At 37.7% G+C, this 27731-nt stretch overlaps 1 protein-coding gene across 4 annotated transcripts in view; it reads left to right on the forward strand.

The window, feature by feature from the left end:
- The first annotated feature begins 13141 nt into the window (after positions 1 to 13141).
- The window catches only part of GRM3 (glutamate metabotropic receptor 3), a 220971-nt gene continuing 206381 nt past the window's right edge, over positions 13142 to 27731 (forward strand). For 3 of the 4 annotated variants that reach the window (NM_000840.3, NM_001363522.2, XM_017012073.3), the window contains exon 1: positions 13142 to 14105. The gene's annotated coding sequence lies outside the window, so the exon portion shown is untranslated. The remainder of the gene's footprint in view (positions 14106 to 27731) is intronic. The other variant, XM_047420268.1, reaches the window with a different exon arrangement.

Below are 27731 nucleotides of genomic sequence, written 5' to 3' on the forward strand. Positions count from 1 at the left end.
TTAAAAAAGTACAGGCTTTTTTTTTTGCTAAGAATGTTTTCATTTTGTTTTTAATTGATACATAATAATTGTTCAGATTTATGGGATACTGTGTGATGTTTCAATACACGCATACATTGTTTAATGATCAAATCAGAGCAATTAACATATCTTTCACAACAAACATTTATCATTTTTGTGGTGAGAACACGCAAAATCCTCTCTTCTAGCTATTTGAAATATACAATACAGTAGATAACCACTGTTCTACTCTCAACTTCTATGAGATCAACTTTTATAGATTCCACACGAGTATGATTGTACAGTATTTGTCCTGTGATTGGCTTATTTCACTTAACATAATGTCCCCTGGGTTCATCCATGTTGTGGAAAATGGCAGAATTTCATTCTTTTTTATGGCTGAATAGAATTTCATTGTGTATATATACCATATTTTTTAATCCATTCATCTGTTAATGGACACTTATGTTGATTCCATATCTTGGCTATTGTGAATAGTGATATAATAAACACAGAAGTGCAGATATCTTTTGACATTATTGATTTCATGTCTTTTGGATATATGCCCAGTGTTGGGATTGTTGGATCATATGGTAGCTCTATTTTTAATTTTTTCAGGAACCTCCATATTATTTTCCATAATGGCTGATACAGGGCTTTTCAACTGCCTTCTTAGACTGGGTTTGCAACAACTGAACTTTGAGCTCTGTTTACTTCATCTCAAGAGGATAGCATATTCTGTTCATAATAAGGGCTTTCATTCATTATTATTTGTTTATTTATAAAATTCTACCACACATCTCTGGAAAACCCATAACATGGGTCTCTGAAATTGGGATGTATAGCCAATGTTTAGTCACTTAACACAACTCTATCCAACTTGAGGCCACATAGTTTATTCCTTCTACACTTATCTCTCTTTGTCTTAAAGTCAGGTGACATGACATGAAGATGAACAGAATGTGAAACAGCTGGAATAGCACTGCCTACACAAACCTGGTACAAACTGCAAAGCCAGAACCTCATTAGTATTCTATAGAATATGCAAAACTCAGCTGCCTTGCAGTTTAAAAGTAACAAATGTTATTCCTTACGAGTACTAAAAGGACTAATCTCAACTCAGCTTTACCTGAAATACCAGGCTAAGCTGAGACTATGAATTTTCAAGGTCTTGCTGTCACAGTCTCACCTAAAGGTATCTGTATCCAAGATGCTGAGGTCACCTGTATGGCTAAAGTTTGTCTAAGGCACAGGTGCTTGCAGCCTTGCCTGAATAAAAACTGTCACTTTCCTAGGACAAAGTTAATATGCTCCAGTGACCCATCAAAGTCAAAATCCCACCTGGCCAATTTACTAAAGCCTGAGGCCTAATGCTACCCACCCAGGGTGCATGAGCTAAAAAAAAATAATAATAATAAATTGTAAAAAGTAGCCATATGGCAAGCTATAGAAAGTTACCACCTACCAAAGTAAAAAAAAAAAAAAAAAAAAAAAAAAAAAAACATGACTCCCACTTCTATTCCTACTTGGTGAAACAAAACCCCGAGGCCATTCTTTTGGATCACTTAGGGTCTTGCTTCAACAAGATGCTTCAATCTCCACAGTTCCCTTTCTTACCAAATTCTGCTCCTTATCTATTGCCAAGTTGGCTAGTCCAATATATGAGATTTGAGGGCTTAAAGATTTAATATACAACACTCTTCTCCTCCTGTTGAAGTTCAGAACCATCTGATAGCTGATCAAATGAGTCAGAAGTATGGAGATGCCAGTTTTATTACTGAGGAAGCTGTTGGTGTCACAGCCTAGATATGTAGCCAGAAAGCCTTCCTAATACAGCCCCCATAGTCAGATCATCTACCATATATTAGAGATAAAAACAGAATACCATATTTTATCTAATAAATGACATCAGGTTCATAAGACCTGCCATTATTTTGTGCACCAAGAGAGAAATGGACCTTCCCTGTCATTTAAATTAGGACCTTCCATTAATAAGATACATGCTTTGTGTGGGCAGATCCCATGCGAAGTAAGTAAAGAGAAGCAGTTAAGTTGTACAAGCCCTGTTCATTCTCCCATGTATGTTAGTTGTATGATAATTGACTCTTCTCCTGAGGAGCAGTGAATGAGAGGGCAAACAGGCCAGTTAGTGCTATGCTTATTCTTGAGTGTTTGGAAATATAAAACAAGGAAAAAAGAGATTCCCTCGCCCAATCAAAAATTAATGTTGTATTTGAAAACAAAAAAGAATGCAACACTAGAGAAGATTACACTTAAAATAATCTCTAAAGGTTTTTAATTGGAAGAAAACCTTGTCTTTATAGAATAAAAGTTCCACAGAAAAAAATTCTAAGTATGAAGTAATATTTGTTTTAAAAAACTGAAAACCTTATTACTAAATGGAAATTTCAATTTTATGAGAATAATTAAAGCTAGTAAACATTTTGGAACTACAATAAGCAATTTTCAGACATTGAATCAACATTTTATATAGTCAATGGGAATAGGATCTAGAACTTGATTTTACCAGAACAATACAATTTCATGTCTTGCCTAATAAGATTAGTCAGTCTTGACTATTTGTTTGTCTGAATTGTCTCATAGCACCTTTTCTTTTAGATCAGAGATATTACACTTTCAGTATGTATAACAAAAGCAGATTGCTCATTTTCTACTTTGTATTGACTTTTAAAAGCATGCTTACTTAGCATTGTGGACAAAAGGACATTCAGGGGCCCAGTGAAAATCAAAAGCAAATTAGTAACCAAATGATGAAGACTGAAGGACTTGGAGGTATAATATAAAGGAAAGACCATAGCTGTTGAGGGCACCATCTTTGGAGTCACACAGACCTGAGCCCTAATCCTCCCCCAGCATTTATTAAGTGGGCAAGCTACTTAATCTCACTTCACTTCAATATTTTCATCTTTATAAAAGTAATAATAATAATCATAATACTTCCCTCCCAGGGTCATTGTATGAATTAATGAGGCAATATATGTAAGCCAATAACACAGTGCCTAACCCATAGAAAATGGTCAAATAATAGAAATGCTTATTTTTCCATTCTGGGATAATACATAACACAGAAACAGCTCCCACACAAGATGAACACTGTTTTACCATTGTATCAATTCATTCGTGTTTTTCAACACTTATTTCAGGCTCTATGTCTTCCACACACAGCGTAGGATTGCACCTCCGACCTCTCCACCCACCTAATCCCCTGAGTGGTGGTTGCTGGGATTCATTATGCTACTGAGTTGTACATAGAATCTATGAGTGTCTCTTCCTGGAAAGAGTATTTAAGTGCTGATGTGAGACCCTGTATATCTTTTGTTCCCTTTGCCACAGCTGGCAATGTTTCAGATGGTGGCTGCTCCATCAGCCTGGGTCCCAGACAAAGAACAACATGAAACAGTGCTCCAGCAAACCCTCAATCAACAAGTAGCAGGAGTGTTGTTTTAAGACAAGAGATTTGTTTATTGCCACAGCAGAATTTAGTCAGTTCTGACAGATACACCTAGTTAATCTCACCTCTAATACATAATTACATTATCACAATTTACATTTCAAACTTTATATGTTCTACAGCATCCATCTGTGGTGATAATCAAGCAGGGTATCGGCAATATTGTTGAAATTCACTCATTCAACAAACATGTTTCAGATACTGCACTAAGTTCCAGGCAAAGAATATTGAATAAGTGGACATGATACCTTTCCTCCTAGTTTACTATGAGGTTGATTAGATCATGAAGACAGGAAGATATTTCTCAGTAATGATATTACTACTTAAAGTTAAAACTAACCATGAAGAGGTTACCATTATCTGGTTAAGTCCTTAGTAGAGATGAGTTTATTTAATAATACTTTTCTTTTCACTTTATATGTTATCTTTTATTTTTTTCTTTCCAACTTTTTATTTTAGGTTTGGGGGTACACATGCAGGTTTGTTACATGCGTAAATTATGTGATCACATTTTTAATACATTACAAAGCTACTAAAAGTTAAGCCCTGTGGAAAAGATATGCTCAGCAGAATTCTGAGGCAGGGGGAGGTTTGGGTATAAAAAACAATCTAAATATAGAGTGCCCACAAACACAGAGTGGTTTGTAGTTGGGATGGATGCAGTCAAAAGGTATCATCCAGTGAACAGGGAGCAAGAGAGGTAGGGGGGAATATTGGAACACATACTGGATTAAAAATCAATTCACTTGATTGAAGTTCTGGCTTGACTAACTTTGCCATATGACCTTAAAGCCATTTATTAAGTCACTTAATTTCTTTTAGCTTTAAATTCCTCATCTAGAAAATACATAGAGTATGATTTTTCTCTTTTTGAGACAGGGTCTTACTTTGTCACCAGGCAGTGGTGCAGTGGTGTGATCTCGGCTCACGGCAACCTTCACTTCCCAGGCTCAATTGATCCTCCCACCTCAGCCCCACAAGTAGCTGGGACCACCACCATGCCATCACTGCTGCCTAATTTTTTTGTATTGTTGGAAGAGACAGTGTCTCACTATGCTGCCAGGCTGGTCTCAGACTCCTGAGTTCAAGCAATCTGCCCACCTTGGCCACCCAAAGTGCTAGGACTACAAGCGTGAGCCACTGTGCCTGGCCAATAGGATATGGAGATATATATATATATATATATATATATATATATATATATATATATATGTATATAATCTCAAGGAGTTTTGGTAAAATCTATAAGTGAAAGCATTTTGAGAGCTGAAAAATGCTATTCAAAGGAAGAATATTAATAATGTAAATATGGAAAGGTCTCTGAGGAAGACCATGAACTACAAATTTATCACAGCTATTCCTGCAAGAAGAAAAAGAATAGAAGAAATTAGCATTTTTATTTTTTAATGAAGTGACAACGTTTTTGAATGTTTTACTTTGCCTGAATGTTTTACTTTCTATGTAAACTATCAGGGATACAAGGATGTTCCTAGAGTGAAGTTGCTCTTATTCACCTGCATTCTAATATCCTCCTTTAGTAGAAGAAAAAGGAACAGAATTACAGATGACCATAGAATTCAAAATAACTCCAGATATACCTTTGAGAATGACTACATCATCAGCCATGAGTTCTGGGCAGAAAAAAAAAAAAAGGTTGAGAGGCACTGTACTAGCTGACTTTTCTGTTAGCTGTTCATTGTTCTTATTTTGCAATTTTCTGATCCATACCTGTTTCTCAAACATCAATTTATGAAATCATACCCTTCTATACAGATAGGATGGGTAAGAGCAACTTTATTATTGGAGAAGAAGAAGGGCATTTGCATTTTCCTCCCTGCAAACTGTAAGAAAGACAACTTCTCATTATACTCTAGTCATTGTAACTAATGAGTATATTTATTCTGCAACTTTTAGAATCAAAATAATTATGTTTTAGGAAAAATAATGAATCATCAAAGTGAAGATATGTGACTAACACATAATTTTAATAAATATTTCCCCGGAACTTTAATCCAATCCTTCTTTTCAGCCTGAGATATTCTCATTTGAGCAGTATGTATTTTTAAAAAATTTTGTTGAGATAGTAGAGCCATCATAAGTCGCTACTAATTTGACACTATATCTAATTGAAGTATCATGCCCTCAGTGACTAAATATCCACTACTAAACTAAGCTAGACAATAGAAACAATTACCTAATTAAGGATTTTACTCAATTACTAAGATCATTTAAACTAAATATGCTTTTTCTGAGAAAAACACTTTCCTGAAATCTTGAATTTATTCTATTGAATTCTGGTACAGAAATGATAGCAAATTCTAATGTCTTATATTTACATTTATATGATTTCTCCACCAAGAATCTTTCTTAAGATATCCTTGCACTAGACAAGAAAAGAAAATTTCTTCATTATTAACAAACTTGATTTTCCCTGTGGCAAAGGTTTCCCAATTAGGTACATTCCCCTTCACATTGGAAAATAGATTCATTTATGAACCTGGAGAACGTATTAAATATTGTTTAAATATATGAAATGTTAAAGAAAGAAATGAGGAGATGGGGAATGGGAGTTTTTTTGTTTTTGTTTTTAATGAAAAGAATATTTTCAAAGTACCAAAAAATATCAAAAAGCAGAATATTGTGAATTAGAGTAAAATTATCTGAAATACAAAACTAAGTGCTTGTGACATCTCCCAGTCATAAGGGCTGTGGTTGGAACATTCCTAAAATTAAAGCTCCATATTGATTGAAAACATTTCTCTGGCTGTATGTTCCATTATACTGAGAACTAATCTATCTTACATACCCAGAATATAGTACATTGCCTGGTACAGAGTAGGCCCTCAATAAATATTTATTATTGAATGAAAACATAAGAACAAAACTAGCAGAGGTATCTCAGTGTGCAGTCATGCTTTAGACATCAATATCTAAATATGGGCTAGAAAACTATCTCCAGTATAGAAAAGGTGTAAGAAGAGCTAAGTAGTGAGATTACTCCCTGAGTCAGACACTACTGGCTGGCTGGCTCAACAGCCAATCCCATTCACTCTCTTCTTTGATGCCTTGAACTAAGAGGTTAAAAAACTATTTACACAGTTTTCCAACCTAATTTGCAACTATAAGCAATCATATGAACTGATCTGGCCAGTGAGACATAAACAATACTCTGCTATGTGATTTTGAGAAAGATTATGCATTCTTGACACAAGGGGCAAATATAGCTTACACTGCTGGTCCTGTTTATTTCTGTCTCCTGAAGTGATGTGATAGCTGGACCTATAGTAGCAATGCTGTGACATAAAGGAAAAGACAGAGATGCTGGCCTTGACAACACTGAGCCACTGAAGCAATCTCAAAAGCTGCCTACTTTCATAGTCTTGGTCTGTGAAAATAAAGCTAGAAGACTACTATTTGTTTAAGTCATTACTAGTTGGCTTATGTGTTACTTCCAGCCAAAAAGCCCTCTTAATCATACACTCCCTTTCTCAAATACACATATTTCAAAGTTGAGTCTTGAAGTAAAGCATTCATGAAACAGCAGACTCTTGCCTTGGGTCATCATAATTAAAGGCCATTTGAGCTCAGGAGTTTATTTTGAGTTCTTTATAGTGGCCACTTGTACTAGGTCACTCTTCTTCATAAAGGACCTCTCTTATATATTTCATCATGTTACCTTTTTAAAAAATTGTTGACATGTCTACTTCGTATTATCAGAAGAGAAATATTCAAGGGTAAAGCTCTCCTCTTATCTCCTTGGTATCCCAGGTACTTGGCATAGTGTTTGGCCCATGATCATCTCTCATGACTATTACTTAAATACATATGCACATAACTAATCAGATATTACTTTCAGATGAATGGCTGATTTAGAGATGATACAATTAGTAAACCATCACTTCTGGGTATGAAAAATAGATTTGAATTGTCAGGAAGAAAATAATCAATATAAGACCAAAATAAATACCATAAACATGTTATATCTAAAATATGCAATAAAAACCTATCCCGAAATCTCTGAGAATAAATTTTTAGGTGGAAAAGCAAACCCAGTTAACATGCTTTCCTGTCTTCTGAGCTCCTTCAGTGTTTGTGCTCTGCATAATTTATTTACACTGGAGTCACAAGCCCAAAGTAACAGCAGTGATTCTAACACACATCTGTATGAATTAACCCCTCCAAGCAATGACTGTGCTTAGAGGATTTAACTCCCCTACAATGCTGATAATCTTTATCAGATCCTATTATCCCACCCCCAATCCTCAAAACAATTATTTGAGAAACCTAAAACTAAAAAGAGTTTGCATATTATGAATATATAGTTTGAGACAAAACCCCTAGAAAGGCCTTTCAGCCATTTAGTCTTTCATTCATCAGATGCCTACTGAGCTCTACAGTTTTAGGCAGTCAAGATAGGTAGATGGGTAGCACAAACACACCCCTCCTCCTGAAGTTTACAGTCTGATGAACCAGACTAACACTTCTAAACTTCTCCTATATAGAAATTCAGAAATCCATGCTATGTCCACGATTCCGTTTCCTCAATAAAATATGTCAAGGTGAACTTTTAATCTTTAAAGTTTAACTCATTCACTCCACAAATGTCTACTGAGCAAGCTTTCCCTCCTCACTGCCATCCTCATCATTTCCATAAGCACAGGGGTTATAAGGAAAAATATAACAGTCATAGTGCCTGCCGTCATGAAGCACCTATGTTATTTATAGAAGACAAATACACAAGTACTTCTATTACTGGTGATTCTTATTATCAAGTAATCCCCAAATTATATTAATATTTATTTACATTTATTTTTATTCATATTTGTTTATAATCAAAAATTAAAATGTCCCAAAGCAGCCATTTATGGGCTATAGGTACTTTAATATTTGAACATTCAAGTTTAGAACTAACCTTAATTCAGGTGTTAACTGTACAATATGCAGAACAGAAACCAAAACAAACAGTAAATAGACAAGGGCTACTCCTTTTATTTTTTCCTTGTGAGAATCAGGGGGAAAAATACAAAAGATCCAAAGCACTGATCAGAGCATTTATATACCTAACAACTGAGGCTCATAAAGCACCACAAAACAATTTTATTCTTTCCCCCCATTGCCCCTGCATATCCAGCCTATAGGGCTTGTCCATCTCTATTCCCTTGGATGTAACTGAAAATCAGTGACTCGACTTTCAGATTGTTCCCAGATAAAACATTCCTTCTTTCATTTCAGTAGAAAAAAAGAAAATGCTACAGACTCAAGTAAAATCAGGTCTAAGGCAGAGTAATAATTAAAACTCCAGTATCCACCTGAGCTAATGCTTCTCCCCTCACCCAGCCTTGGAAGGCAGCCAGATGGCAGCCTGCAGTAGGACCTGGCAGGCTCTTCTTTCTGCCCAGCCGGCTTCCTCATCCTCATCCTCCCTCCACCTTAATCAGCAGCTGGAGCTTTTGATCTCTCTGAATTGAAGAGGTCAGAGATAGAAGGTATAAGGAGACATGAAAAATCTTATTTGTCTAGCACTGATCTAGCATTGCATTTTCCTGGGCTTTGCAGGTGTTCAAAGTTGACTTTCCTGATCCCAATTTCCTCAGTTCTTTGAAGACCCTCAGGCTCTGGGGATCTCTCACTGCAGACTCTGACCTGATTCTGGCGAGGCATTCATGACAGGCCACTGACTACCCTACCCAAAGCCTCTGGTTGTCTGCATTTCTCCTTCAGCCTTCTACTACCACCCTTTATGTGAATTATAAAATGGTGGCACCTCCAGGTTGATGAAGTATAGACAGGTGCCCTCCCACCATGTTGATACAGCCCTATGCACAAGCCTGGGCAAGCAGCTCCTTCTCACCTCTCAGCCAGGAGCCTTTGTGCAGACCACAACCTACAAGGTGACATTACCACAGCCCTGTGCCCTTCACAGACTGTCTACTGGAATCACAGATTCTCCACCAAGTACTTCTGGGTAGGGGCTAAGAAAACACGTCTCCTGCTCTGTGCTCACTCTACCCAAATAGAGTACACAGGAAACCCATCCCTTTTGCCTGACATAAGGGCAAGTGCAGTCACTTGCCCTATTTTATTTTAGTCCTCTGAAAGACAGATTCAGACACAGTGTTTTATATTTCTCTGCTGTGAAGCAGTTCACTACATCACCCTAACTCCAACGGAACATAGCAATGGTTTTCCTATAGCAGCAGCACACTTCATTAGAGTTGAAGCAAGGAGAAAGTATATAAACCCTCACCCTGGGCTTGCATATTTAAAAGAACACCAAAAACTCTCTATGCTTGTATTCCCTACCTTTCTTTTAACTCTCTTATATTCCACATGGATTAGGGATACTCCACTCGAATCCAGCACAGGGGGTGTGACAACTCTTACTTTGGAATATGGAGTAATTGGCTCCTCTTTGCATGGAGGCTTCAGTCAAAAGCAAGACTAGAATACATTTATTTTTATATATTGCAACAGTAATTAAAATAAGAATTTACAGATGTTCTAAGGAGAAACGTATTTTTGAAAGAAGTTGAAAAGTGAATGAGGGATGCTTATTAGCAAATTAAAGAGAATTTTAGTATTATATATTTACAAGGACATATGTACTTTAAGTCCCCAGAATAGATCAGTCAATCCTATTCTTTAAAAAATTATACAGAGGAATTTACAGTCACAGGGCAGATGAAGCAAGTAAAGGCTGAAGCAAGAGGTATGGCCAGATGACTAGAAGGTTTAGGTAGCCATATAATTTAATGCCCAAACCTGACACTTTGAGAAATAAAATGAAGACTATGAATACATTCAGACAACAGATGTAAACCAGAACTGTTCTGCATAAATTGGATGCCTGATTACCCTATGTGACCAAAATAACAGTTCATTCCTGACTGGTAGTAGAAGGCAACAATGAAATTGATCTCTGAAGAAAAACAGAGGTTTGCTTCAAAGAGAACAGTGCATTTCTGACTGGTAGTAGAAACCAACAAAGAAATTGATCTCTGAAGCAAAATGGAGGTTTGCTTCAAAGAGAATGCTAGTGAGAGTAAACTATGGATCAGCATGGGGACATGGAAGCCATTTTATTTGTAATTAATGATGACAGTACTTCCATTTTCAACGTTTATTCTGGATGAAAGATGGGACACTTTACAGGCCATATTTATTTGTTTTTTGTTTTTGTTTGAGGTGGAGTTTCACTCTTATTGCCCAGGCTGGAGTGCAGTGGTGTGATCTTGGCTCACTGCAACCTCTACCTCCTGGGTTCAAGTGATTCTCCTGCCTCAGCCTCCCTAGTAGCTGGGATTACAGGCACCCACCACATGTTCAGCTAATTTTTTGTATTTTTAGTAGAGAGGGGTTTTCACCATGTTTGCCAGGCTGGTCTCAACCTCCTGGCCTCAGGTGATCCACCCACCTCAGCTTCCCAAAGTGTTGGGATTACAGGCGTAAGCCACCGCCCCCAGCCTACAGGCCATATTTAAAAAATCACTGTAAAGAAGTCCAAGTGTTAATGGTAAAGACTCCTAAGAAAAAACATCATGATTTAGTTACTCAAACAAATATAGATGAATTAGTGAAATTTAGATAAACTAATAAAAATATGAGCTACAAGGAGTGATCTAGATGCCCAAATACATGTGTTTCACTTGAAAAATATTTGAGAAACTTGATACATCAGATGTAATTAAGAAAAGGAACTAGGATTGTTTAGAAATGGAGCCCAGCTAGAATACTTGGGGAGGGTGTGAAGAGAGGGATAATGTAATCTCTTAATTGACATGTTACTTAGTCAGAGGTTTTTATTTAGACCTATCCCTTGAGGCTTTTAAAAGTAACTCGAAAACACACACACACACACACACACACACACACACACACACACACACCAACAAATAAACATTAAAAGCCAATCTATATTCCCGATCAATGACGAATTTAAACAGTGAAGACTAATTGCTTTCAATTAAATATGCTCAACAATTAAAATACCATCAGTTAACTATTATATAAACCAGGGATTTTTAATAGTAACTAATATTTATATGCTTCTTACATGGATTTACTAATCCTCAAAATAATTCTGAGGTATGAGCAATTGTTATTCCCATTTTACAGATGATGAAACTGACATATAGGCAGGTTAAGAAACTTGCCCAAGTTCACGCAGCTAGGAAGTGATGAAAATTCAGGATTCACATTGAGGAATTCCTTTGTGTGTATGGCGTAACGTGGGAGAGGAAAGAAGTGTCTCATCAGGCAATATCTGATAACAGACTGATAATTTGCCTCAGCATTTCAGCCTCTACTCACCACAAGCCTTAGTTAACAGCTAGATACAGACTATGGAGTGCAGTTTATCAGCACTTTCCGTTGTGCAAACATCAGCTACTTTTGTGTGTGTGAGACAAAAACATCAGCTCTCTTCTACTTCTCTCAATCCCAGCTAATTCTGATAAGGTCTTGGAAGCGCAAAATGATGTCTTCTGGAACGTTCTGAAAGAGACCAAAATCTACCCACACAGCTTCATGAGGATCTGAAGCCTTGCAGTGTATAAATCTTTATCTTTCTCATGTTCATGTCATTGCCCCTTGATATACAGTTGTCTATTGGGCAGACATTGTTAAAAGTAAATAAATTCTTAAAATTAAAATTAAATTCCTATAAAGATCTTTTTTTGGTGAACAATTCATGCTGGAAAATACTAATGAAACACAAAGGAAGAGGAATTTTGCTTGTACGTGGTCAATGCTATTGCATTCCAGAAAGAATACGTTGAAAGGGGGACTTCTAAAATTTTAGCATTTCACTATATAATAACACTTTATTTTTTAATATATTCAAATTTCTGGATCTAGTGGAGTTCACAATGAAATATATATATATATATATATATATATATATATATGCACATGTGTCTTTTAAATATTGCTGTCCCTCTAAAAGAATCAGTAGGTAAAATTATTTCTGTAGTTTAAAAGTTCTGGCTAGGTTACAAAAGACAGCAATTGTTAAACAACTTAACATTAAATATTAAAGACTAAATGTAGCATTTAAAGCATTAAGTTTAATTGTGTCTGGCTTCATATAATTCAGTCCTTGGTTAATACAAAGTTAGTATATTAGAGTACAAAAATTAATGAAGTTTCAATTTGGAAATTAAACAGTATGTGTTTCTAGACATAGAAAGATGCCTGGAATTTTACCTTTAGGATTTTATCTGTAGCTGGCAGCCTATTAAAGCTGTTTCCGCGTGCCTTTTTCTCTTTTGTGCCTACGTCACCGATTTAAGGTTCCTATTTATTTATTTATTTTTAAGAAGAAAGAAGAGGTTCTGTAGGAAACATTGACTGTATCCGACAACCATAGCAGGACTAGAGAAGGACCAATGAGGGGGTGCTGGGGGTAGCTTTAAGAGGCGAGGTGGTAGCAGAAAAGGATAAGAAGAAAGATAATTCAGCAGTCCCCTATAATCTTATTCCACCCAAGAAATTTGGGAGAATGCGAAAAAGCAGCAGCCCAGCATTCCCGGATGGGCGTGGCTTTTCTCCAGGGGCTGTCCAATTGAATTCCTTCAGAGGGAGAAGATTGATAAGGGTTGCTAGGAAACAGGAGCGTCTGCCTCCCGCCTGACCCAGAGATTGTTCTGCACAAACCCTCTCCAGGGGCTCGCAGTGTGCAGTTGAGTCGCGAGTACGGCTGAGCTGCGTACCGGCCTCCCTGGCTCTCACACTCCCTCTCTGCTCCCGCTCTCCTAATCTCCTCTGGCATGCGGTCAGCCCCCTGCCCAGGGACCACAGGAGAGTTCTTGTAAGGACTGTTAGTCCCTGCTTACCTGAAAGCCAAGCGCTCTAGCAGAGCTTTAAAGTTGGAGCCGCCACCCTCCCTACCGCCCCATGCCCCTTCACCCCACTCCGAAATTCACCGACCTTTGCATGCACTGCCTAAGGATTTCAGAGTGAGGCAAAGCAGTCGGCAAATCTACCCTGGCTTTTCGTATAAAAATCCTCTCGTCTAGGTACCCTGGCTCACTGAAGACTCTGCAGATATACCCTTATAAGAGGGAGGGTGGGGGAGGGAAAAGAACGAGAGAGGGAGGAAAGAATGAAAAGGAGAGGATGCCAGGAGGTCCGTGCTTCTGCCAAGAGTCCCAATTAGATGCGACGGCTTCAGCCTGGTCAAGGTGAAGGAAAGTTGCTTCCGCGCCTAGGAAGTGGGTTTGCCTGATAAGAGAAGGAGGAGGGGACTCGGCTGGGAAGAGCTCCCCTCCCCTCCGCGGAAGACCACTGGGTCCCCTCTTTCCCCAACCTCCTCCCTCTCTTCTACTCCACCCCTCCGTTTTCCCACTCCCCACTGACTCGGATGCCTGGATGTTCTGCCACCGGGCAGTGGTCCAGCGTGCAGCCGGGAGGGGGCAGGGGCAGGGGGCACTGTGACAGGAAGCTGCGCGCACAAGTTGGCCATTTCGAGGGCAAAATAAGTTCTCCCTTGGATTTGGAAAGGACAAAGCCAGTAAGCTACCTCTTTTGTGTCGGATGAGGAGGACCAACCATGAGCCAGAGCCCGGGTGCAGGCTCACCGCCGCCGCTGCCACCGCGGTCAGCTCCAGTTCCTGCCAGGAGTTGTCGGTGCGAGGTAAGGGTCCCAGAGGAGGACGTGTCCCTCTGGAGGGCGCCCAGCCAGGGCGCGGAAGCTCGGGTGCCGCGTGGGGCAGGCGCAGCCGGGAAAGTTGAGGTAGAGCATGGACCAGTCCCTACAGTCCTGACTGGAGTGGGAAGGGTGGAGGGCAGAGGCGATGTGGGTGTGCATGAGTGAGAGTTTGTGTGTGTGCGCCCACGTCTGTGTCTGGGAGGAGGGAGATTTCAGGGCATAGATCTGCGGCCAGGGTGCGAGAGGTGAAGGGACGAACTAGCACTCGCAGACCCCAGAGAGACCAGTCTCATCAGCCAACCACCTCCATCTCAGCTCTGGGCTCAGAATTTGTTTCTATTTGGGGGCTCCCTAAGGCTTTGTGCACAGGAATCCGTGGATACGGGCGGTTTCATGTGGGTGTGGAGGTTGCAGGCAGAGGTGGGCAACGGTCAGCGAGACCTGGTCCATGCAGCCCAGATAAGCTCCGAAGCCGGAGGCGGCCAGAGGTTTGCCCTCCCGCAAGCAGGGTTGGAAAGGAGCCTTAACTCACTGCCCTTTGCTCCTTTTGGCTTGAGTGAAAAATCGAAAAGCCAGACAGGGAGCATATCTTTTCATCGACCCTGTTCCATTTTCTTATCTGACAGTGAGATAACTCAGAGAGGGCGGGAGATTTGCGATCCAAAAATAGACTAGGTGATATATCCAATAAGCTTGTTTCTTAAGGATTTCATTTAAATTTCTTTCTAGTTATTCCTTGGGTTATCAAAGGTGGACAATTCTCTAAGGTACAACACTTTTAGGTAAATATATTAAGGAAGGATTCTCCCACTTTAAGTATTTTAGATATTGTAAATTTTGAAAAACAAAACTATACACCTCTAAAGATCTTTGGTTAAGGACTCAACTAATTTGCTTATAAAAATATTTCTACTATTTGAATAGTAATAGATATGTTTGGGGTCTATATGTAGGTACATATTGGAATATTCAAAGTTGAGGTTAATGTGAGTTGAGGTAGGTGTGAGTTAAGTACCAACAATAGTTCCTTAGAGTTTCTTTGCTTGAATTTCTTAGAACTGTCCAGCACAGCTACAGTATGTTTCTTTGTGGTGGGCGGGGGGGTGGGGGTGGGGGGGTGGGGGGGGGTGGGAGGGAGTTTAGGGGGTGGAGTCTGCTTTGGTTTATCTGATCACACACTTTAAGATTCCTCTCTGAATTCTAATTGTTTGCAGAAGTATATTCAATATAGGCATTACTAAAGTAATCTAGATTGCCACTATGCTAAACTATGGATAACAGTTCCTAACAAAGATGCTTAGGACACTCTAATGAATAAATATGATTCTATATTCCTACGTACCTTGTTTCTAAAATCAGCCCAATAGAATTTGAATATATTTGGAAGCTATTGTATGCCAGAAATTATTGTAATACTTTTCCTTTCACAATGGGTAGTGTTTTATATTTACAAAGATTTCTTACACCTGTAGACTTTAGCTGTCAATCTTATTGGGTTTTGATCACCCAGCAGGAGTACATAGATATTTTGAATATACATGCCCAAAGGCTATCTTATGTTCAGAGTAACACAGGAGCTCAGGATGGAAAATGAGGAAAGGAAGTCTTGAAACCTATACCTTAACAAATAAAACAATGAAATTCCAGAATATCTACCTTTATTAGATGAAAAAGAATATGGCAACAATACCTTTTAGCATTGAAACCCCTCCTGCCCCTAGATACTATATATCTAGGTATAAAACTGTGGTTTTATGAGTTAGGCCCTTACCAGTGAAATGTGAAACCTAAATCATAGAAAATTATGCCAGTACAATGAATAGGCCACACTTTGGAGCTTGAAACAGATGTCTTTCTATTTATTTAAATTGAATGGTATTTTTCAAACTTCAGGAATATATGATCAGTAACAAGAAAATGTGTGGAAAGCCACACACACAAAAAAATCTTATAATTAAAATATACTCTGTGACCTACTTATTTTTGCACAATGGGCTTTTTAAAAAGTTGTGGTATACATGTGAAAAGGAGTATAAATCCGATGATTTAACCCACAACTACACATATCAAAATGATGAGCTCATCTTTAATTTTATATCACTGTAATTAAAATTGGTAAGTTGAACAAATGCAAATATAACGAAATTGATTGAGCTTTATGTTTAAGTTGAAATTAATATTTGTATTGAATAAAAGAATGGGGATAATTGTCAAAAGCTCACTGCTTCACTTCTCTATGACAGGTGATTAGCTGGAATCACACAATTGAAGATGTTCTTATTTTGAAAGATTCTCAGCAATAACATTTTACAACTTCCCTGGGTACATTTTCCTCACTTTTATTTCATGTCGAACTATCTTTTTGCCAAATAAAACTGTTGTCTTTCTTGTCCATTCTTCTAATAGTGATCAGTCGCAAAATGAAGCATGAGGTTTTTCCAGGATACTAGCTACCTCCTGCCAAAATGTAGCACATTGGCTTGGGGGTGAATTTTCCAATTGTTTTCCTGCACTAAACATCATCCCAATATTCTACTAAACAAAAGAAATGAAAATGAATACCTAATCACTATTGTAAAACAAGGAGGGCAGGATTCAGTTACGCACACTGGAATGTGGCCAAAGTTCCAGCGTGAGACTTGTTTTCTCCAGGAGTAATTCTCAAAAAAAGGAGTACGTGTTTACTCACAGTTGTCTCACTTTGCTATTTTAAACTGAGTTTATTGTGCATTCTCACATCTTTTGAGACTCCACTAAATGGATCCAATACTGCATTAGATGAATTTGTTGAAATTGCTCCCAAGGAGGAGCATAAAATGATAGAAGATTATCTACCAAGTCTGAACACATAAAATGAGTATCATCATAGTAATCACTGAGACGGCAAAAACTATTAGCTCATACCCCTCCTTCTACTTCTAATGTAGGCTTGGTCCCCATAGCCTACTGTATTTTGGAGTACTTCAGTCCAGTCTGACTTTAAATGGATCACGTAATGACTTCTTCCAGAGTCTTTGAAAGACTATTTCAGTCTAATGGTTCTCCCTATTAAGAACTTTGTTGTGATATTCAGCTTAATTTTCTCCTGATTATATTTTATCTTGTTACTTAATTCCTATTATAAACCTTCTGGACTAGTTCATCCTCTTGTCTGATTCAGATTCTTCATCCAACATTTCTCTAGGACTTATAAAATACAAAAGCTTCACACAGTTACAGGAGAGAATACAAAGATGGCAATTCTATGTCCAGACATCTTTGCTAAATGTTTAAGACATTTTTTGCACACTTATATATGTGTATAACTATATGTTCCTAATAATTTAATTTACTAATGTAAGAATTAAGAAATTACCTTTTCTGATGTTAATGACCTATGTGAATATTAAGGTGGTACTTTCTGAGGAATGTTCTATGTGGATGCACATTATGAGACATTTTCATTGCAAATTTGTTTGCAACAGAACCCTGTCAACGCCCACACTACAAGGGAATTTTGTGACATGCTGGTCTGATGCTCCTCTGAGCCCCAGAAGCTGTTGTCATGTAAATTCCACTATTGAAATGAAAGTGATGTCCATAATTAATAGAATGTGCTAGGAATGTAATAGTGTATATAGTTTAGATGTGTATGTTAACAAAACATAGTAATTCTGTTAGGATTGGCAGTAGCCCCTTTATACTGAAACAATCTAAAAAACCCAGTGGAATTAAGGCCAAATTATTCACCGTGCTGCATTATGAAAAGTAAGCTTACATCATGCATATATCAATGTGGAATGTATTTCGATATATATGGAGGTACCATATGTGAAGGTTACTTTAAAAATAGAAAAGCCTGAAAAAAAAAACATAAAAAAACAGGTTTTCACTTTGTTCACTTGAAATCTTGTTCCAAGACATCCGTGTGTAGGCTTCTTTAAGATTCTTAAGCAAATATCTTGGTAGACTCACCATCCCACTCAATTGTTTCTCCAAGTTCCAGGCATTGAAATACAAGTTCTGCTAGACAGTAGAGGAGTAAATGATATAAATCAGGAAATAAGTTCCTAGGTTACACTTAGCAAGTCAAGAAAATATAAAACCAGAGGGAGGTGAATCAGCATCTAAAAACACCATTTAGTGCTATCTTACTGCTTGTTAAGCATTCGACGGTACATGGAAACACTCACGTGGATTAGGTTAAGAAATCAAGGAGGAGACATCTTTCCAAAACTTATTTTTAAACAAATAAAATTAGACTGCACGAAATAATTTTTAAACAAGTACTCTCCCTCCTGAGGTCCCAAAGTATTTTTATAGTGCTATTCATCACATAGTGGTGAGCACCCTCCAAATGATTTTCCTTAGAAACAAAAGGAAAATCAATTTTCTTGGTATAGAAAATGTAGGCCATTAATATACCTATAGCTTCTCTCTGGAACAGCAAGGCATCCAAAGAATCTGTGCCTACACAGAGTAAGTATTTCTTCATCATATTGAACAATCTTTTTATTGAACTGGAAATTGTACACTGTACTTTAAGGAGAGAAATAAACTTGGAAAACATTCTGATATAATCTACGTAGGCATAGATTAAGGCACCAGTTTGAAAATAAAGCCATATATAGAGAAGGCACCTCCACAAAAAGCCCAAAGTAACTCTGATCTTTAATTTCTTATCAGAATTTACTTCACTACTTCACTATCATTGACTGTATAACTACACACACACATATTTGAGTAAATTCAGTTGAAAGGGTATAGATATCTAAACAGATTAAAAAAAATCAAAACCATGATGCTAGATACATAGTTTGAAAAAAACTTACAACCTATATATGTAGCATGGGAATATTAGGAGTATAAAATTTGAGAAGATTCCTCTAAGAAAGAGTCTATCATCAGAAAGAAAAGGTAGCTAATAGGGAAACAATTAGTCAATAAATATTTATTAAGTACCTATTTTGACCAAAACAAAATATAGGACATGCATTGGGAACACAAAAAAATGTTCACACACAAAGTTTCACAAACATGTGTAAAGTTGAAAGTGCTGCAAAAATCAAACTTGAAATTTGAGAGTAGAGAAAATGTTACCAGAATTATCAACCAAATGAAAAAGTCTGTTCCTTAACAGATGCATTCATATTTAGGATTTTAAATGTGTGTATATATTCTGATGCCTTGTGGAGACAGTGTTGTATGCTGTGAGGTGACAAAACTAATAATAAGTCAAAATAATAGGTGATAATTATTAACCAACTTCCCTGTGTGAAGAACTCTGCTATACAAGAACTATACAGTACCTGTGAAGTAGGTACTGGGATCCTCATTTTATACAGAAGAGGAGATGGAGGCCCAGCAAGATAAAGTAACTTGCCCAAGTTCAGGTAGTTAACAAGGCTGCAACTGGAATTCAAAACCTACTTTCTTATTCTAAGACCTATTTTCTTTACTACCAATATTGCCTCACAATTTTTTAATTTATTTATTTATTTTAATTAATTTATTTATTTTACCAGGCTTCATTGCATTCAACAAGTGTTTTCTGAGCTCCAAGTAGAGGGACATGCTTTGGTAAGGAGGGCAAACAATAATCAATGAAAGGGAGTCTAGAATAGACTTCCCCAGGCTCAAGATCTTTCTCCACTCCAGACACTGTCCCTTCTGAGAGGCAGAGACATGCAAATGGAAGAAGTAAGCTAAAACATTATTTATAATTGACTAGGACTAAGGATGAAATTCTAAAATAGAAAAGTCTATGAAGATTATAAATGAACAAGCTGAGAAATAAACACCAGGTCTGAAAGTGTGAGGAAAATATATTTCTTGGAGTCTGATTTCAATGACCATTATCATCTGTAAAACTTAGTACAGTGGCAAGAATATAGTCTCACAAAAAGCCAGGATAGAGGTGAGTAGGATTTCTGCTGAGGCTAAAATGCTGATGTTTCTCTCCTCTTACAACCTACCTACTTCCCACCAGGAAAACAAGCTGGTAAAAAAGTTTTGTAGTATAGTAAAATTTTCAAATTTCTTTACCCTGCTGAAGTAGTAATGGTTCATCTTTATGTTAGAAAACTCTCAGCATTTTACACATCGGGACATTTATCCATAATATATACAACAGCATGAAACTGGAAGGGATCAGGGATTATGAATTTTAAACACACTAAGAATAGGAGATGCAAAGTGACCTGCTGGAGATTCCAAAGACTGTTGGTAGTGCTGCTCCAGGAAAACCCACATCTCATTATTCTCTGACCTCAGTGCCTTCCCACAGACAGGAAACCTGCTGTCTTAATTGCATGAGCTTATACTTCTTTTCACACTTCTTTTCACACAACCAAAGGGCTGAAACAAATCTTTACTTGAGGGTCTTTCTCTGATTTGTGATATGTGCTAGAGTAATTAATGGACATAAAAAAGGAACAGATATCACAGATCGCCCCTCCATCTGGTGGAGGCTGTTTCTTTTGATTGTTAATAATAGATAGCAGATAGATTATTAGTAATATTTGCTTAACAGTTTCAATGAACCATGTCTTGGTGAATACAACATAATGGAAGCTGCTTTTACAAAATATGTCAGAATACATGCCAATCTGAGAGATGGCACTACAAGGTCAAAAACGTTGGAATTTATATCTGCCTCAAGGAGAAAAGGATATCTAGAGAGTATAATTAACTTTCTACTTTGGAACATCTTGTTTTTCCTGAAAAAGCAGAGACCCTCTACATGCTTATGCATTAATCCCAGTGATTTCTGTGGAATCCACATATATGGACTGGTGACCAGTCCATACTATATTGGTCACTACTACACTGGTAGCCAGACCATACCTAACTTCAAAATTGATTAGTAGACAAGACATGAACTTAGATGTCTAACAAATCTCTTCCATAGATTTTGTTCAAGACGTCCCCTTGAAAAAAATGTTTTGAGGAATGCCAAAAGTCCCACTTCCCCCAACACCCAAAATATATTTTTCACTACCTTCCTTGGTTCATAAAATTTTCCAAATTTTAAACTGAAGTATTTCATCCAAGAAGTACTAAAGAACATATAGTTCTAGAACCACATAACGTACTAACCCTCCAACACATTCTGAATTTATAGGCTCATTTTTCAGAAAAGGTAACTTTACCAGTTTAGTAGGGAGTAGGTAGAATGAACAATTAATTTATTGAATTTTTACGTACTTCACGACCTTGTCTAAGACAAGCCCTTCCTTGGCTATGGTTTCCTAAACACTCATAATGCAGTAATTTGAAAGGAAACAAGCCTTCTCTTAGTTGTTGAACAAATGAAGCCCTGGTAGGAAAAAGATTGAGGTGTTAGAGTGCTCACCCTCTACTTTTTTTTTCTTCTTCTAAGGTCCTAAATTTGTGTTTGTTGCTATGTGATATAACAAGACAGGAAGGAAGATAATTTTTGTTTGTTTTTTGTTTTTGTTTTGTTGTTGTTGTTCTTTTTTTGAGATGGATTCTAGCTCTGTTGCCCAGGCTGGAGTGCAGTGACGCAATCTCGGCTCACTGCAACTTCCGCCTCCCGGATTCAAGCGATTTTCCTGCCTCAGCCTCCCAAGTAGCTGGGATTACAGCCGCCCGCCACCACGCCCAACTAATTTTTGTATTTTTAGTAGAGATGGGGTTTCACCGTGTTTGCTAGGCTGGTCTTGAACTCCTGACCTCATGATCCTCCCACCTTGGCCTCGAAAAGTGCTGGGGTTACAAGCATGAACCATGGTGCCCGGCCAGTAGCCGATAGTATTAGGTCCACTTCTCATATGGAAAATGCTGGAACATTTGAAGTAGGAAAGGGTAAGAAAATTGAAAAACGAAGAATAGTTAACCTCTCCCTTTCCTTTATACTCCCCCATGTATTGAACAACAACAACAAAAATCATCTATTTACCTCTGCTGTAAATAGTCTGTGAAATTATTGCCCAGAGAGCCTGCATTAGAATCACTTTGAAGTTTACTTAAAATGAAGAATGCTGGGACACATGCATCCCAGGCTAATTGAAACGAATGTCATATAGATTGAAGTTTTGGAATCTGCATAGTAAGTAAACTTCTGATTATTCTTGGGATTTGAGAAACATTGTTGTCTTAGTCTGCTCAGACTGCTATAATGAAATACCATAGACCAGGTAGCTTAAACAACAAACATTTATTTTTCACAGTTGCAGATGTTGCGAAGTCCATGATTAAGATTATAGCAGATTCAGTTCCTGGTGAGAGTCCTCTTCCCAAGCCACTTTTTTACTCTGTGCTCCCATAGCTGGGAGGAAGAGGAGGTGCTCTGGGCTCTCCTCCTCTTATAAATACATGAATTCCACCATGAGGGCCAAACTCTGATGGCCTTTTGTAAACCTGATCATCTCCCAAAGGCCCTGTTAGTAAACGCAATCACATCGGGAGCTAGGGCTTCAGCATGTGAATTTTGGAGCAACACAAATATTCGGTCCATAACAATTACATGTAGAATGATGGTCATACACAGAATATCCAGTGAATTTCTTTTACCAAATTACTTTCCACAGCAAGTTCATTCTAATTGGATTAACCAGTTGTATAAAGTACATTCTACAAGCCTGAGTACTAATTAAGCTCAACTAATAAGGCACAGTTTCTATAAGTTGTATGAATAGATTTTCTAGAAATGTCCTATTATCTTCGTTGTAAAGGAAGTTTTCCTGTTACCTATAGTAAGTTCCCATGAGATATGCAAACACATATAATAATACACATCTTTTGGATATTCTTATTCGGAGACTTCCTCATTTTTAATCTTTTATCCTGTATTTTATCATTATATTAATATTAATATATTAGAAAGAGAAGTTACTGGTATTTGAAGAAGTTACTGATATTCTTATTAGAAAACCTTCTCACTTTTAATATTTTATCCTATATTTTATCATTAATATTAATATATTAGAAAGATAAGTTACTAGTGTTTGAAGATTATCATTAATGAAAAGATTATTTCTTAGAAACTCTCCTCGATTTGAATAACTGCACTCTTAAAATTCAAATTGTCTTTATAGTTATGCCCTTATGAGCTAGGGGATGTGGGAAAACTTCTGTCACAACTCTCCCCACTGCCCTCTAGATCTGCAGCGTGGGGGCAGGGGAAGGACCTCATTTGGCAACTTACACATTCTTCACTCAGCGTCCACTTCGTTCAAGTGAATGGTTGCTTAGCTAAAGCCGGCAATCCTCACAAATACTGCCAAAGATAGTTTCCTAAGCAGCGTTCAGAGCCACATGGGAAAAATGCCGAACAGGAAGTGAGGGACTGGCAGCAGGGAGGGGGAGGCTCAGCCTGGGCCACCAGCTTTACCTCCCAGGGGTTTTGTGCTCCCTCTTTGCCTTCACTGGAATGCTACACTTAGTAGCTGACTTCATGAAGAGAAAAGCAATAAAAAACAGAGCACACCCCCACTCTCCCAAATATTTTAATGGTTTGAATTTTTTAAGACTCAGGAATCTCAGAGACAAAACTGTTAAACTGTTGAAAGTTACACCGTGTCTCAGCAGAGCCTGGCTTTCTTGACCGTTCTGATGGTTACAGTACTTCTACCTGATGATGTCACTTCTACTGGACTGTCCCACTCACACAGCAGTCTCTACGTATCTAAAGCCAAAAGCCCACTGCCTCCCCCAACTAGCAACTTATTTTCTGATTCTAAGAGAAACATGATTATTTCTCCATACAATCATTCAAAATTGTGGAACTGCCCATGACATTTTTCTTCTGTTTAGTCCTCTGTTGATTCCTTCCTAAATGATATGGCAACTTCTTTATTCTCCTACCACTGACAAAACCTTAGCCCAGGTTATCATCACTGTCCTCTCAATCTTTAACCATTTATCTCCTTCGTTCTCTCTCTCCTTATACAATTACTTATTCATCAGAAATTTAATGAGTGCCTACTGTGTGTTCAGTCACTGTTCTAGAGATATTATAGCATGAACAATAATGTAGAAATTTTTTTTATATTCAGCTTACACTAAATAGACAATAAACAAGAGAACAAATACAGTGTGAAGAAAATAGAATGAGGGATGTACAAAAGTGAGAGAAGCTGGAAAAGGAAGTATTGCCACCAGATTAAACTTGATGAATAACTGGTTTTTCCAGGTGTTAAAAGCATTAAATATAAATATCACTTAAATGTAACTTCCCAGCGTGGCCATTAAGCATTTTACAATCAGGTCCCTGGTGTATCTTTCCAATCTGTCATCCTCAACATGAATATCTAGTCTACCCAGACCTTTCTGTTTGCACCAAATACACACCTGAGTGTCTTTGTAGTATGATTTCATTTAGAATGTGTTTTCTTCCTCCTTTCTCCAAACCTATATTTAAGTCCAACTTCAAAGTTCTGCTTAATCTAAGTTCATACTAATGATTTTTTATCTGTTTTACCAAAGAAATTTTTATTCAAAACATCCATGTGGTCCTTACTGTAGGTAGGCCTGATTACTAAAATATTGCTTTGGCATAAGTAACAGGTAGGTAGATCAGTAAATTGTGGAATAAAATAAAAAAGCAAATTTATTTTTATTTCTCACTGCCCCTTTAAAAGGTATTCAGTAAAATATATTACATTTGTGTAATAAAACAACAAACCCTAACTTGCAAACAGTCTCAATTCAAAAATTAGTATGCCTAGACCAATACAATAATTGAAACTTTGAGCGCTAAAGTTGAATCTTTTCTCTATCCCCAGCAGGAGCCTCTTTCAAGTAAGAAGCTGAAAAAGTAAGCTTAAAAGTCTTATGGGTTTCATCCACCCTTCTTTGTCACTCTTACTAACTCAAGTTCTGAATCCTCCAAAGTTAGGGGTGGAAGGTAGGCGAAAACAAGATGGTTATAGGAAAAAAGTTCCTACCTGACAAACTTCACACTAGACCCCAAGATTTTTAAGGCTAACTCTGTGTGTGTGTGTGTGTGTGTGTGTGTGTGTGGGTGGGTGGGTGTGTGTGTATGTGTGTTTACTTCTCTCACTATTGCTGAGGGTCTCTCACCTCAGTTTCCTCGACACAAATTTTCTTTCATCTGACCATACCTCCTCCGTTCCTGCTCTTTCAGCAGCTCACTGCAACAGACTCTTACTTTGAGATTCCCATTTCCCTTCCAGGCCTTTCAATTGGTTTGATTCCTTTCAGTAGTGACTGACCTTCAGTCCACAGGAAACAGTGACATAATATTACAGGAAAAAATTCTTAGCATGTGGGCCAGTCCAATGCAGCAATCTCTCTTCTTCACTTCTCCACTGCCAAAGCATCAAAGATTTAGCTGGTCCTTCTCTCATCCTTCATTATTTCCTAGCCTGGAGTAAGGCCCAACCCATTTTGTGACACTATACTATGTTCTTTTTTTTTTTTTTTTTTTTTTTGAGACAGAGTCTTGCTGTGTTGCCCAGGCTGGAGTGCAGTGGCACGATCTCAGCTCAGTGCTGCAACCTCTGCCTCCCGGGTTCAAGCAATTCTCATGGCTCAGCCTCCTGAGTAATTCAAATTACAGGCATGCACCGCCACGGCTGGCTAGTTTTTGTATTTTTAGTAGAGATGGAGTTTCACCATGTTGGCCAGGCTGGTCTCAAATTCCTGGTTTCAGGTGATCCACCTGCCTTGGCCTCCCAAAGTGCTGGGATAACAGCTACCTTGACTGGGCTTTGTGATGCTATATTCTTTGGTATACATAATTATTTCCAATTTTTGTGAACATATTTGGACTACAGGACATATGAAATGTAATACGCTCACTTGCTTAGATACCTGTTGTTTTCTACTTGACTAACACCCAGATTTAGCAAAGTACCTAGTTTCTAATATATTTACTCATTGAATGTATGAGTGTAATAATACAGCTTAAGTTTAAAAAATTACTTTTTATAACCAAGAAAAATGTTTCTATAGGGGGCTACCTGTATAAAGACTTATAGGAATCAATGTCTACAAAATAATATAAGATGTGGCTAAAACATTTGCTGGTTTTTCTGACTAGAATTAGCTCCCAACGAATAAAGATCTTGTCTGTCGTTTTTAGCAGAGTCTATAATAATGCATATAATAATGCATATTTAACACATATTTAATGAGAAAACATAAATTATCATGTTAATATCTTCCATTAATATGTTGTACTTTAGGAATTGTGATAATCTTAATTTTAATCCATAAATGGTGCTATTCTTCTGAAGGCATTTTCGATCTCAAATAGAATAACTTTATATAAAAGTTTAAAAATTTAGCTTTAAAAAGTGACATCAACCTAATGACATAAATCTTTAATGAGCATCTGCTACTTTCAAGGCACTGGGCAAGGTACTGAGGAGGACAAAGAAAAGAATAAAACACTTTGCCTGCCCTTAGAATGTAAAATCTTATAGGAGAGATGAGATATGTGCATGTGTACCTACAGTAACAAGAAAATTCAGGAGCTTGGCTGTGAGACCCCTAAGTGGATAATAATATTTCTGTTTGACATAACTGTAGAAGGTATAATGAAAAATTTACTTCTGTCCTGGGCTCTAAAAAATTAGGATTTCAGGAAGTGGAGGATTTCATTCTAGACCTATGCAAAAGCAGAGAGCTAGAATGTGGGATTGAATTGTGGAGCATCATGTAATCTAGCTTAGTTTAAGGTTAGAGTGTATGGGGGTCAGGGCAGAAGATAAAGCTCTCAGAGCAGATAAAATGATGGCTAACATTTCTCCTGTAGGCAGAGGAAAATCTCTGAAGACACTTGAGCAGGGGAATCTGAAAGCACAATGTGAAGATAAATAGGAGGAAATAAAGGTTTGGGAGGCAGAGAGATGAGTTGGCAGGTTATGGCAACAGTCCAGGTGAGAGGTAATGATGGCCTAAACTAGGGCAGTGGCAATGGGAATAAGACACATGGAATGAATCTAAAAGACATAAAGATGAATAGTGCCTGGTAGGTAGGAATTAGCTTCTGGGCAAAAAAATACCAGCCAAAACAATTAAGCTAATCACTTTCCTTCTTCTACAATAGAAAAGAGCATGCTGCATAAAATCCTTAGTTTAATAATGGAAAATGTGGGAGTTGTCTTTCTTTTAAGCTATTTTTCATGAATTTGGGTTACAGGAAAATGTAACAATCAAAATTCTAACTCTCTGAAAATAAGACTTACAAAACAAATCAATATTTTCTATGTGGCTATTATTTGATTGCATTTATCTGTAGATGGGAGGTTAAGCCAACATAGTCTCTCTCCAGGGCTCTGCAAGAGCCACCTACTGGCTTCCTTGACCTTCGTCTTATACCCACCTCTAAGTTCATCCACATGGCTACAGCCAAAATTATCTTTAAGAAATACAAATCTAAGCATGTCATCCTTGCTTAAAACTCTCCAAAGATTTTTTCTTTGCTCTTGCTATAATTGAGACATGGTTTACCTGGCCCACAGTGATCTGCATGTGTGTCGAGATTCATGTCTCATCCCTTTGCCCTTACACTTGTTGTTCCATCCTTCCCTCTCACTCCCCAGGCCTTCCCACAGGCTGTGAAACTTCCTAGTGCACTGGTCCACTCCAACCCCTTCAGGGCTCAGTTTAAATTCTATACTACTTCTGACCTTCTATAGT

This window comes from Homo sapiens, chromosome 7, assembly GCF_000001405.40.
Source record: "Homo sapiens chromosome 7, GRCh38.p14 Primary Assembly".
Taxonomy (NCBI): Eukaryota; Metazoa; Chordata; class Mammalia; order Primates; family Hominidae; genus Homo; species Homo sapiens.